General features: G+C 36.3%; 2 long non-coding RNA genes across 2 annotated transcripts in view; one reads left to right on the top strand and one right to left on the bottom strand.

Annotated features, from left to right (window-relative positions):
• The window catches only part of LINC00534 (long intergenic non-protein coding RNA 534), a 166472-nt gene that overhangs the window by 30923 nt on the left and 121497 nt on the right, over nt 1-14052 (bottom strand). The window contains exon 3 of the long non-coding RNA NR_051989.1: nt 5371-5496. This is a non-coding gene — a long non-coding RNA (long intergenic non-protein coding RNA 534). The remainder of the gene's footprint in view (nt 1-5370; nt 5497-14052) is intronic.
• LOC124901975 (uncharacterized) overlaps nt 1-14052 on the top strand; it is a 267232-nt gene that overhangs the window by 205304 nt on the left and 47876 nt on the right. The window contains exon 6 of the long non-coding RNA XR_007061002.1: nt 59-225. This is a non-coding gene — a long non-coding RNA (uncharacterized LOC124901975). The remainder of the gene's footprint in view (nt 1-58; nt 226-14052) is intronic.

Raw genomic sequence — 14052 nt, 5'->3', positions numbered from 1 at the left:
TCCTGGCAGAAGTGGCTTCAGTTTTTTTTTTTTTTTTTTTTTTTTTTCTGTTTTTCAGCTTTCTAGAATCATACTGGCTATTAATAATGCCTTTGGCTTTGGGATTGGGAATTTTTGATGTGACCAAACAGCCATTTATGTTCTCAGAAAACTGGAATAGGAATATCCTATGGTGGAAGAAAAGAATGGACCATGATGAAAATTTCTACACCAGAAGAGTTTAAAGTAATTATGTCCTTCCTCCCCTCTAGCCCCAACTCCCTACCCATCATCCCTAATTTCACTACATTTGATACATCAGTCAAGGGACTGATGTGATTTAAATAGCAAATAGAGAATCTTCCAAGAACCCTGACTATTTGAACATTGCTTCTATGGTCTGAGCAGCTAAGCCCTTGCCCACCCTTAGTAGGGCAAGGAAGAGACCCTTACTCCTAAGCTTTTGATGCCAAATACATTTGTCTTTCTACTAACATTAGTGCAAACAATAAGATTGAGATTGTAAACACCTGAATCTCTTTTAGCTGGATCACATTTGATAGGTAGTAGCTATGATCAGAGTAACCTAGTTGCTCATTATGTAGTAAACAGTGCCCAGGGCACCCTGGGGCTGTGGAGTGACCTCTTATGACTAAATTGCAAATGGTAACCCTTGATGAGACATTTATAAGTTGGTATATTATTTCTACTTCAAACAGCTGCTCTTAACTTATATCATGATTTTCACAATGGAGAAATAACAACTAAATAACGAACTAATGGAGGTGAGGGTTTGGAGTGTGTATGCACTGTGCACTCTCTGATCACAGCTGGGGTTTTTCCCCTTAAATTGTTTGAAGCTATTATACTATATCATTTTGTAGTAACAAATGGTGTTGGGATGATGAAGAATTATTTAAGTGAAACATTATAAGTTCTCTATAATAATAACTTCACCGTATCATTTTGAAAAGTCACATAATAGAGACATCTGAAATGTCGTATTCAGTGGCAGTGTACTCATCAGACCAGGGCAGTAAAACAAGATGCTCCACTGAGATTTTGAATAGAATGTAATGGTCTTTGTGCATAGATGTGAGTGGATCCAAGGGAACCAACAAGTATGTTGAGGTACCCAGGGACTCAGAACCCATTACTGCCCATGGGCATGAGAGGCTAAAGAGAGATGATGATGTCACTAGAGCCCAGTGACAGAGTCAAGAAAGGAGGAGAGCATGACAAAAGCAACCACTGACAGAGCCCCCAAAGTTGAGGAAGAGAGAGAGTAGAGAAAACAGTATCTTGACCTCTCCCTGCTTCCACTCTCAGATCCCCTTCCTGTGTCTTACCACTGGCAGATCCAACCAGAAGCCAAAGGGAAAAAGTGCTCCATTTATGTAGTCAGTAAGAGTAAATTTCTGGAGCAAAAGCAAGGTAGAAAAGGGTAAGCAGATTAGGGGTAAAGGCGTGGCACGAAATGTGGAATAATCACAACTCCTCACTGCTGGTGAGCCCTAGTGTTTGCTTTTGGTCCTGCTCAACATTTTTAACCACTTGGGTAAAGAAATAGTGCCAGAATATCAGACTGTGAATAGCAAAAAGCTGAAATCTGTGATTAACCAAGAAGTTTTCTGTCTATCAAGATGCAAAATTATCTTGACAGATAGAAATCTACAAAATAAAAGTTTATAAGAAAATTAGATAAGTTTCCCAGTTAGGATAATAAAAAGCTTTTTTTCAGGACAATGGGAGGGGTGGGAAAAGTGCTTGATAACAATACACATCCTAAAAGATGTGAATGTCAGTTGATGATGGGTCATGATTGCTTACAAAGCAAATGTAATTTGAGGTTGCACTTTCATTGGCTGCTAGACATCTCCAGCTGCCTATTCCACATGTTCCTCAAATGCAGTTTGCCAAAGCCTAATCCTGTTACCTTCCCAATCTCCCTGTGAAACTGTTTGAACTCCTCTGTTCTTTCTTTGGTTATCGGTATACTGCCCACAGGGATCTCAGCTAGGAGCCTTGGAATTATCACATTTCTCCTTCCCGTCCCATGTTTAATGCATCACTAAATCATGCTGATTCTATCTCAAGACATCACCTGAATACCCAATTTTATTTCTGTACTCCATTGTCCTTGCCTTTTTCAAGCCCCACTGTTTCCAGTCTCTAGACTTCTATACCAGCTTTCTCATTTTCGTGACTTCAGTCCAGTCTCCCTACAGCTGTCAGTTACCTTCAGATAAACAAATGGGCATTTGTCAGTCCTAACTTTATAAACTCTGTTCTCATGGTGGTATTTAGGACTAAGGGCGGACTCATTATTTAGTATAAAAGACACATGCCAGTCTCATGTCCATGTAGGACTTGACTTCTAGTACATACACGTCTTTACTCCAGCAACAAAGAACTGCTGTTCTGAAAATACCACAAGGCTTTGTGCTTTTGTGCTTGTGTATTCCCTCTGCCTGAAGTGCTTCTCCTCCTCTGCCACTCTTGATACACCCATATTCAGCTTTCCTGACACCTCCCAAGCATCTACTTCTGATTTCCTCCTAGAAAATGTGCAGCCACAGTTCTTTGCTCTAACTTTTGCAATAACACTTGCCTGTTTGTATGTATCCTTCCACCACTATTTCTAATTTATTTTTACTCCCCTAGCACTCAGTAGAATATCTTCCATATAGATTTCATCCAATCTAATTCCATTAGATTTCAACTAAATCTTTGTTGACTTATGAGTGCATTAATTAATTAATTGAAATGTATTGTCTAGAATATAGAAGCTAATGATATCACTACATTGGTCAGGCTATGTGTATTTTGCTTGACTTGGCCATTTTAAGAAATCCACAAACTATATTATAACCAGAAGATGACACATGGCATAGAGACCATATCATATTTGGTCCTTCTATTGGTCTTTCTTCTGAAATAGGAATAAGATAATTTATTCTGAGGTTACCTCATATTTCTAATCATATAACAATATCAAGGCAAAAATAGTCCTCATGCTATGAAGTTGAAATACAGCTATGCAGCACATAATGACATTCCAGTCAAAGAAGGACTATATATACCATGGTGGTCTCATAAGATTTTAATGGAGCTGAAGAATTTGTATCCCCTAGTGATATTGTAGCCCCGTAACATTGTAGGACAATGCATTATTCATGTTTTTGTGATGATGCTGGTATAAACAAACCTACTGTGATGACTGTCATATAAAAGTATAGCACACACAATTATATATAGTACCCAATACTTGATAATAAATGATTGTGTTACTGGTTTATGAATTTATTATACTATTTATTATTTGTGAGTATGCTCCACTTATTAATATAAAAAATGTTAACTGTAAAACAGCCTTAGGCAGATCCTTCAGGAGGTATTCTAGAAGAAGGCATTGTTATCATGGGAGATGACAGCTCCCATATGTGTTATTGCCCCTGAAGACCTTCGGGTGGGACAATGTGGAGGCAAAAGACAGTGTGATATTGATGATCCTGACCCTGTGTAGGCCTAGTTTAATGTATGTGTCTGTGTCTTAGTTTTTAACAAAAAAGTTTAAAAAGTGAAATAAAAATAAAAATGTTTGTTTAAAAATAGAATAAAACCTTATAGGATAAGGCTATCAAAAAAGAAAACATTTTTGCACAACTGTACAATGTGTGTTTTAAGCTAAGTGTTATTACAAAACAATCAAAAAGTTTTTAAAAACTTAAAAGCTTATAAATTGAAAAAGTTACAGTAAACTAAGGTTACTTTATTATTGAAGAAACTTTTTTATAAATTTAATGTAGCCTAAGTGTACAGTATTTATAAAATTTATAGCAGTGCACAGTAATGTCTTAGGTTTTTACATTCACATACCACTCACTCATTGACCATCCAGAGGAAATTCCAGTCCTGCAAATTCCATTTATGGTAAGTTCCCTATATAGTGGCACCATTTTTTTATCTTATACCATATTTTTACTGTAATTTTTCTACGTTTATATATGTTTAGATACATACTTACCACTGTGTTACAATTGCCTGCAGTATTCAATACAGTAACATGCTGTACAGGTTTGTAGCCTAGGAGCAATAGGCTATACCAAATAGCCTAGGTGTGTAGTAGGCTATACCGTCTAGGTTTGTGTAAGTTCACTCTACAATGTTCGTATGACAAAATCGCCTAATGACACATTTCCCATAAGATATCCTCGTCCTTAAGTGACCCATGACAGTAGTAGAGCAAATGCATGCAAAGTGTTTACATACTTGATAAATACTAAGTATTCAATAAATATAGGATTAAAATTATTATTGGGATTTTTAGTAGCAGAATGTAACACTATTATCATATACTTTTTACTTAAAATGTTATTTTTACCCATTTTCAAGATAGGAGTCCTGCATAAGATAGCTGTACCTATGCAAGTTAACCTTTAGCTAAGAACAGTACTTTTCACTCAATTATATCAAGAGAAGAAAACTTCCAATGTTATTAATTCCTTCTGCTTTCAGGGTGGTTTCTCCTAAATGATCCAAAATGTTATAATTTACCTCTCTCTGCATTAAATGTCGTTTAATTGCAAGCTACAGAACACATTCAGCATAACAATACAGTATGTGCAATGTATTGGGAGGACACCAGGGATTTGCCTGTAACCTACAATCAGGAAGGACAGCCAGGTTTCACAGGAACTGGTCAGTCTCTGCTCTCCTCGGCACCATCGTCATTCGCTCTTGTATTTCTGTTTGTATAGGCTGATTTTTTCATACTCCAGAATTAACTTTGGCTATTCCTTGGGGCACATGATGGGCAATGCCATCACCCCTAGGTTTGTACTGCTTCCAAACCCGGTGTCCCAGGTAACAGGCTGTGCTCTCTAAATTCCAATGGCACATTTCTAAGAATTAAATTTATTGTTCTTGTTTTAGCCAGTTGTCTTCCTATGACCAATCTACTATGGCCAGGAACAGTGAGAACAAACTCTCCTGCAGGCACCCATCCCTGTCCTAAGGAGCATGACTTTCAGGGAAGCTAGGATGGCCAACTATCTCAACTCTTCCTACTCCACAGTGCAATTGCTCATGATGCCCAAGGCAGGAAACTAAAATAGGTTTAATCCCATTCTTCAAAAATTTCCATACATAAAGTCTTCTTCCTTAAATCTAAATTAAACACTTTCTGTTATTGGTTAACAACTTCAATTCTTTTTCTATTTCTACTGCATGTAAAATTGCCTGGTCATGTTAACTCTGCATAAAAACCTTTGGAATAAGATTACCAATTTCATTGCAGCAAAAGGCTCTGGGAAACTATTTTTATTTCAATTTCCAAATGTTTAAAGATAAAGAATTATAAATTTGCACTAATTTGACTATTATAAATACCTCTCTGGAGACTTCTGGGCTAGGAGGGCCATTTGCTGATATCTGGAAAGGGAGTGGAACTGTGAGAAAACCAACTTTCCATATAGAATAGGCCATAAGTTATATCCAGGCAGAGTCCCAGCTCAGCTGCCAAGAAAGAGAAAAGATAAACAGAATTGGATTTTAAACTGCAAGGATGGTGATCCTCTTTCTGATGATAATAGGAGCTGATGCTGTGTGAGGGAATAAAAATGCTGATGGTGTGGGAAAGACGAATAAAATGATGTGCTTGACCCAAAATGCACTAGAAGGGCATGGAGTCAATGTTCCAGGTAGGACTGATGCATCAGAGAAACTGGCCTCATGTAAAGATAGATACTGACTTAGTATTCTGGCAATAACTACATCATTAGGAAGTTCCATCAGAAGAGAAAAGTCAGGATTTGCTCAGGGGAAAAAATGCAAGATTTATAGTAGTGAAAAACACAAAGAGAAGAAAGAATAGACTCTCCTGGTGCCAGAAACAGTGGAAGAGTCAGCAAGAGGTGATGGAGGTCTCTCTGCAAGGTCAGGGTGGGATGGCAGGAAGCCAGTAGCACAGGCAAGAGAAAAACTTTCTTTTATTCACAAGGTTTCAGGAAACAGTGTATCTCAAGAGGGCAGAACTGGTGGACAGAGTACAAGCAGCAAGTTCTGATGCACGGAAAATCCTGGGACCCCTCCAGACACCCTGACGGGTATAGACAAGGCAAGGGTAGGACACCAGGAGTGGAGTTAGAGTTCTAATTAGATCCTCCTCTTTCCAGGCTAAGGCAGAGTCATAGGCTCCCATGAGTCACTGAAGGATAGAGGAAGGGCAGCCAAAACTGAGAACAAGACAAGACCAGCTGCAGATTTTGCAGGGGTGGCAATCAGACAGGAAGTCCAAGAACCTCTGGATAAAACTACATGAACTTAGATGTTACTAGATGTCTATGTGCCTTAATTTTCTCATCTGTAAGTTTGAAATAGTAATAATCTCTGTCTGATAATGCTATGAGAATTAAATAATATATAAATTATGTGTTGTTAACAGAATGTGTATATGTGTATGGGCAAGTGAGGGGCAAATTTAGAATCATTTATAACAGGTATAAGAGAAAAAACTCAAATACTAAGATTCTTTGAAATTTTAAAACTTTTCTCCATACATTCTTTCGTATTTACCAAGCATTTAGATGGGACAGAAAATGGGAATCTGAGAGATGATCTCTAGAGAAATACATTTTCGCAGACGTTTTTATTGGGATGAAAATTGGTATAAACTTTTGATGGGCAATTTTTTAATGTTAATCAAAATTTAAAATTCATACACATTTTGTTGGAGGAATTTAGCTTCTAAAATATGATATAGCTGTATTCACAATGAGGCAATGGTTTTCACTATAGCATTTTTCTGCAATAATAACATACAAAAAAATTAGCCCAAACATCATCAATTAAATCAAAATTGGTTAAAAAAAATTCAGCACATTCATAAAATGAAATACTTTGTAAAAGTTAAAAAGAACAGTGTAAACTTACACTTCTGGCCAAGATACATTGAAAGTGACTGGATTTATTCTCCTACCTGAAACAACCAAAAGACATTCAAACCAGGCAGTGAAGAATAGCAACCACTGGGAGAAGAGAACAGATGAGATGAGCCCAACTATTGCTTCAGCTTCTTGCCTTGAGAGCATTTCCAGGCCACAGTCCACGGGAGTGGCCAGGGGAACTCAAGCAAAACCTGGTGGACTCCTTAAAAAGATGGAGATGAGAGTCTGGGAAAACCTAGACAGTGAAAGCTCACAGAACAAAGCACTAGAGTAGAGAGAGTTCACAGAGAGAGAAGTCTGAAAGTCTTCAAAAGGGGTCTTCAAGTATTCAGATGAGTCATGGTTAGTGCATGTACCTGTGGCCAAAGAAAGAGTCATATCAAAGGATTAAAGGCAGCAGTGCCTTCTGCTCATATAGAGCTGAAAATAGTGCCCTCTTCCCACCAGTCAAACTGTAAGGTCTCAAGAGTCACAGGATGTTGGATAGAGAACACAGGAGCATCTTATATCAGAAATGCAGAACCATTTGCCTTGGACTTAGCAATGTTCTGCTCACACTTAACAAATCTTAAAAGCAACAATTGAAATGATAAATTGTTTTCAACTAACTTAACTACATCACAGAAAAGTTCAAAAGTATTTATAGGAACAAAAAATACATATAGCACCCAACAAGGTAAAATTTACAATGTCTGGAATCTCATAATCAATAATTACCAGGTATGCAAACAAACTAGAAAATATGACCCATAATGAGTAGATAAACCAATCACTTGGAATTAACCCAGATCTAACACAGATATTAGAATTAGTACACAAAAATATAAAAAGGGTATATATAACTATATTCCATGTGTTCAAAAGATAAAAGTAGAGCATGGACACAGAAAATATTTTAAAATTCCAAATCAAACTTCTGTAGATGAAAACCACAATGTACGAGATTTAAAATGAAGAAATCACTAGAATAGTTTAGCCTCAATTTAGACAGTGCAGAAGAAAAAAAAAAATAGCGAACTTGAAGAGATAGCAATAGAAACTATCCAAAATTAAGTACAGAGAGAGAAGTGAATTTTTAAAAAATAAATAGATCAGCAGAAATCAAAGTATGTTGTTGTAAGGTTCATATACTATATGTGAAGTGGTATACTATCATTTGAAGGTAGAATTTGATAAGTTAAATATGTACATCATAAAACCCTAAATTAACCATAAGATAAGAAAACAAAGAGTTATAATTAACAAGCCAACAAAGAAGATAAAATGAAATAATAAAAATAAGAGCCAGTTCTTCAGAAAAACTAATAAAGTTACTCAAATTCTTGCAAGCCTATTTAATTAAAATAAAAAAACCCACAAATATAGAATATTAGGAAAGAATTGTGGGTATCATCATAAAAATGAAAAGATTTTAAAAATTGGGTACACTTATTTCTACAATAGGAGTTGGCAATGTTTTTTATAAAAGTCCATATAGCAAATATTTTATGCTTCGTGTGTCAAATAGAGTCTGTTGCATAATTCCTTTGTTTCGTTTTACAACCCTTTAAAAACCGTAAGACTCATTCTCAGCTCATGGGTGATACAATACAGTGTGCATGTCATATTTGGCTCACCATTTAACTACATTATGACCCTTAAAGCAACCTGTAAAATTTTTTAAGTGTTATATTAAAAAGGCGATAAAATTGAATCATAATACATTTACAATAAATACAAAATACAGAAAAGAGGAAAAAGGGAAGAAAGAATGAATTGGACAAACAGAAAACAAACAGAAATATGGTAAATTTAGAACTAATGATATAAATAAATTAAATATAAGTGGTTTAGATACTCCCATTTAAAAAGCAGAGCTTGTCAAAGTAGATGAAAAAGCAAGATCCAACAATAAACTACCTATAAGAAATGCACTTAAGATATAAAGACACAAATAGGCTAAAATAAACAAAAAAATAGGCAGTATTAGTACTAATCAGAAGACAGCTGGTGATCTATAGATTCAACACAATCCTGATCAAAACTGCAGTAAGTTAGTTTGTAGCTGTCAAATAACTGAATCTAAAATGTGTATGAAAAGGCAAAGGATCTAGAATAGCTAGCACAATACCCAAGAAGAACACATTAGAAGGATTGGCACTACTTGACTTTAAGACTTACTGTAAAGCTACAGTAATGCTGACAGCATGGTGTTGGTGAAAGAATAGACAAATTGATCAGTGGAACAGATTGGTAGACCAAAAATAGATTTACACGAACTGATCTTTGACAAAGGAGTAAAGGTAATTCGATAGAAAAAAGGATAATCTTTTCAACAAATGGTGCTGTGAAAATTGGATGCCCATATGCAAAAAAATGTGAATCCAGTAGACACAATCTTTATGCCTTTTACATACAAAAAATTCAAAATGGATTTTAGCCTTAAATTTAAGGCAAAGCTGTAAAACCTATGGAATAGAACAGAAGAACATCAAGGTAATCTTGGGTTTGGTGATGAGTTTTTAGATACAATATGAAAAGGGCAATTCACAAAGAAAAAAATGGATAGGTTGGACTCTTAAAATTTAAAGCTTCTGCTTTGTTAGAGAATGAAGAAACATTTTGGGAAAAAAAATGTTTGCGAACATATATCTGATAAAGGACTTTTGTTTAAAATTACAAAGAACACTTAGAACTCAACAGTAAGAAAATAAGCAACCCAATTAAAAATTGCACAAATAATCTGAGCAGATCCCTCGCCAAAGAAGGTACACAGCTGCAAATGAGCATATGAAAAGATGATAATCATATGTCATTAGGGAATTGCAAATTAAAACAAGATACCCTAAATACCTATTAGAATGTCCAAAATCGGAAAAGCAGATAACATCAAGTGATGGTAAGGATGTGGAAAAACAGGAATACCCATTCGTTGCTGGTAGAAATGTAAAATGGTGTAGCCACTTTGGCTGTTTGGCAGTTCCTTATAAAGATAAACATAGTCTTACCACACTATCCAACAACCATGATCCTAGATATTTACCCAAACGATTTGAAAACTTAGGCCCACATAAAGACCTGCACACAAATGTTTATAGTAGCTTTACTTATAATCTGCAGAAATAGGAAGCAACCAAGATGTTTTTCAATAGATAAATGGATACACTGTGATACATACATACAATGAAATTTTATTCAATAATAAAAGGAAGGCCAGGCGTGGTGGCTCACGCCTGTAATCCCAGCACTTTGGGAGGCCGAGGCGGACGGATCATGAGGTCAGGAGATCGAGACCATCCTGGCTAACACGGTGAAACCCCATCGCTACTAAAAAGTACAAAGAAAAAAATTAGCCGGGCGTGGTGGCATGGTGGCTGGCGCCTGTAGTCCCAGCTACTCGGGAGGCTGAGGCAGGAGAATGGCGTTAACCCGGGAAGCGGAGCTTGCAGTTAGCGGAGATCGTGCCACTGTACTCCAGCCTGGGCGACAGAGCAAGACTCTGTCTCAAAAAAATAAATAAAATAAAATAAAAGGAAATGAACTAACTATCAAGCCACAGAAAGACATAGGGGAACATTAAATGCACATTGCTAAAGAAAAAAGTCGGTTTTGATATGGAAGAACGCTAAATGCATATTGCTAAAGAAAGAAGTCAGTCTGAAGAGACCATGTACTATACGATTCCAGCTGTATGACATTTTAGAAAAGGCAAAACTATACAAACAGTAAAAATATCGGTGGTTGCCAGGGGTTCGGATAAGAAGCAGAGTATAAGTAAGGGAGGAATGAATGGGGAAAGGACAGGGCAATAAAAATATTCTGTATAAGAAAAAAAAAACTATAATAGTAGGTACATGTCATTATGTAATACATTTGTCAAAACCCCTAGAACCATAAAACACAGAGTGGAACTTAATGTAAACTATGGACTATAGTTAAAATTAATGTATCAATATTTATTAATTTTAATAAACATACTACACTAATACAAGCCGTTAATAATAGGGAAAGCTGGGTACAAGAGCAGGGGGTGGGGTTGAGCATATGGAACTCTATGTACTGTCTGTGTAATTATTCTGTAAATCTTGAACTGTACTAAAAAATAAAAATTATTTTTAAGTGGGGGGTGGAGCTATTTATCTATTTTTATACTGCAGTAGAATTTTTCTAGTTACAAGAATGTGAAAGTAATGATTATCCCTGGAGGGGGAGCCTGGAAATCTAGGGTGGGGAGGACAGGAATATACTTTTCACTAAAAACTCCTTTTTACTATTTAAATTTTTAAAACAAAACGTGTGTATTGCCTTTCCAATTAAACAAAAGGTAGCCTATCAGGACCCATTCCATTAACATTGGGATTGCCCAAAGACGTTTTGGGGGTTTGGAATTTTGAAATCCAGTGAACTTGGGAGAGGAGAATAGTTCACAGCTTCAGAACAGGCAGATGAATAGTGACCAGTAGGATGAGCATTTGTGCTTGCCTTCACTTCCTAGGGCTGGTCTGTGCAGTCCTACACAGTCATTTCTATTAGAATCAAATTCGAAGAGCCTCAGTGGCAGAGCCATGTTTTCCATTTTTTTTTTTCCATTTCCTATAAGGGCTTTGTACTTAGTAGCCACGTAAGCCCACCTGTGGTCATTATACTCTTGGCATGCTGTGTGCACCACTCTGGTGTTCAAGAATAATTTGTTGACTGTTTTTGAAAGCGATTGCAACTCTATTATCAATTCCAAACCTGCAGAGCTTTTAAGATGCAGAACAAAAGAATGAATGAATCAGAAATGATGAATGCCTGTAAAGCTTCCTGGCTCAAGAGAAGTCTAAGAAGCTGAGTTGATTGAACCAGAAGAAAAAGGATGACTCAATGCTTATTTTAGAATAGCAGAATTAATAGGTGTTCTGTATTTGGATCCATTTTGGTGAGGGTGAAAGGGGCAGAACAAGATGAAAAATTGACTTTTTGGGTTTTATAAAATGCTTGTTCCATGCAAGAACATGGTGTTTCAGGAATCCACATGCTCTCCATCTCAGTGGCATGAATATTGTCCTTCATATACATCTTATTCATCAAACTTCCAATTATTAGGGCTGGGGCTTTGATTAGTGATGTATTTATCCCAAAGTGTTATTTTCCATGTATATTCTTTTAAAGCCTGTCTGTCTCTGGCTTCCACAACAGTTTTGTTTTTGTTTTGTTTTGTATATTCACTGTCATTAACATATTAATAAGGCTATTTTCCTACTTAAGAAACATATCTCTTCCTTTCACAAAAAGCAGTAGAAAACTTTATGCTCTTTAGATGATCTTTTCCTTTATTTTATTTAAGTAGGATGAGCTATAAGCAACTGAAAGATACGTAAGCATAACTATGAATTGCTATAGATCAAAGTTTCTATGTGCAGGTTATTATTTCTGTTTTAATCTTTCAGCATGGTATTTTTAAGGCATCTAATAGATTTAGACCTTTATTAATAATAAAATAGTACAAATGACACTCTTAATATAATGAAATGCTTCCTTTCACATATATATGTATCTGATTTCTTAGAAGTATTTCATAAACTCCTGAGGTCTTCCTTCTTGTACTCACAAATAACATCATACATCACAAGTTTTCTTACAGCTCTCTTGAAGTGTGAAAGCTGTCCTCTGTGCCACTTCTTGTGTACTTAAAATATCATTCTGCCTTCCTTACTGCTGTTTATTCAAAAGATTATGCCCCAGATTTTCCCTGGCTAGCTCTTTCCTTCAATGTGAATTTTATTTATTTCCTTAGTGGCCATTTGTCATATTGACCAAGTCACATGCTCCCACAGACACATAGAACACCTCCAGAGAGATGCAAACCCACAAATGTAAGGTCTGCTCAGAAGTGCCCAGTCTAAGGTGTCTTCACCCTCCCTGCCCTGCAGACATTTGTAGACACCAGAGTTTACAGGTTCACTGTTCCCTTTGTCCTTTTCTTCTTTCATGTAAGCCTCCCTATTCTCATTTTGATCTGATGGTAACCTAGTTTAAATGACCCATTTATTTTTATATTGTAAATGAGCACGTTGTTGTCTAGCAGTTAACAGTCCACTTGGAAGAAATTTAGCTTTGTGAATGTTTTCAATATGTGTTGGTGCTTTTGCACAGGACCTAAATCTCCCTTCTGAGGATTGTACACTGTAACCTAAAAGGATATACCAAGAGCTCCCACTGCCACTGCCTTCAGACATCCCTGTAGTGAAGCATGTAATCCACCAAGCATAAAATTTCACTTGCTAAGTTTGAAACCTAACTTCCTTTATCTGGTTCTGCCTTAGTTCCCTCACTCTAAATGGCCATAGTTTGGGACAGATCTGTATTCTCCTTACTAAATACTTGAATACCCTTACATAGTTTTCCACTGGCCTTGTTATGATATATTTTAGGCAAATTCAATTCCTATGATAGGCTAATGGCTGATTTATTTGATTATCAAATCCTAAGACAGGAAGAAACTGTTATAGGTCAACTCAAAATGAAATCATTTTGTGTTCAAAATCCCTAAAATGTTATATCTCCTGTGCAGATTGCTTGAGCTTTGCTAGGCATGTTCATAGTGAAAGAAGAGGTGAGAGTTAACTTGTAAACATGTGACTTATAATACACTTCTAACAAAAGAACTTCTTAGTAGGGTCATAGTTCATGGAAGTCTGAAAAACATCCCAGAATATAACATCATTCTCTGCAGCCTATGAAACAGCTCATAGTCTTGCCAACAAGACTTAAGTGTAATCCTTATGAAAAATTCAGCTTCAATTAATGTTACTAATAGATGATCTTCTTACAAGAATACATTATAAACAAAAATGGAATGTTGTTACTATTCAGTCAGCAATGCTATTCATAAGTATCCCTTTTAAGAAGCATTATGCATGGAAACATACAGGCTGGAACAAACTATCCTTTGTCCCACTCTGCACATAATAACACATGCTAAGTTTACATTTTGTAAAAGGTGCAACCAAAGCACAGTTCAGTGTGAAGGATGCCAGCTGGGAAGTAAGAGACTCCAGAGGGTCAGACAGGGCTAAGGGATATGGTCCAGAACCTCAGATTTGAAAAATCTTTGGCGTCAGACAGAAACTGCTATAAATCCCAGTTTTACAACAATTATCTC

This window comes from Homo sapiens, chromosome 8, assembly GCF_000001405.40.
Source record: "Homo sapiens chromosome 8, GRCh38.p14 Primary Assembly".
NCBI lineage: Eukaryota > Metazoa > Chordata > Mammalia > Primates > Hominidae > Homo > Homo sapiens.
The sequence above is the reverse complement of the archived record's forward strand: the minus strand, read 5'-3'. Positions and strand labels throughout refer to the sequence as shown.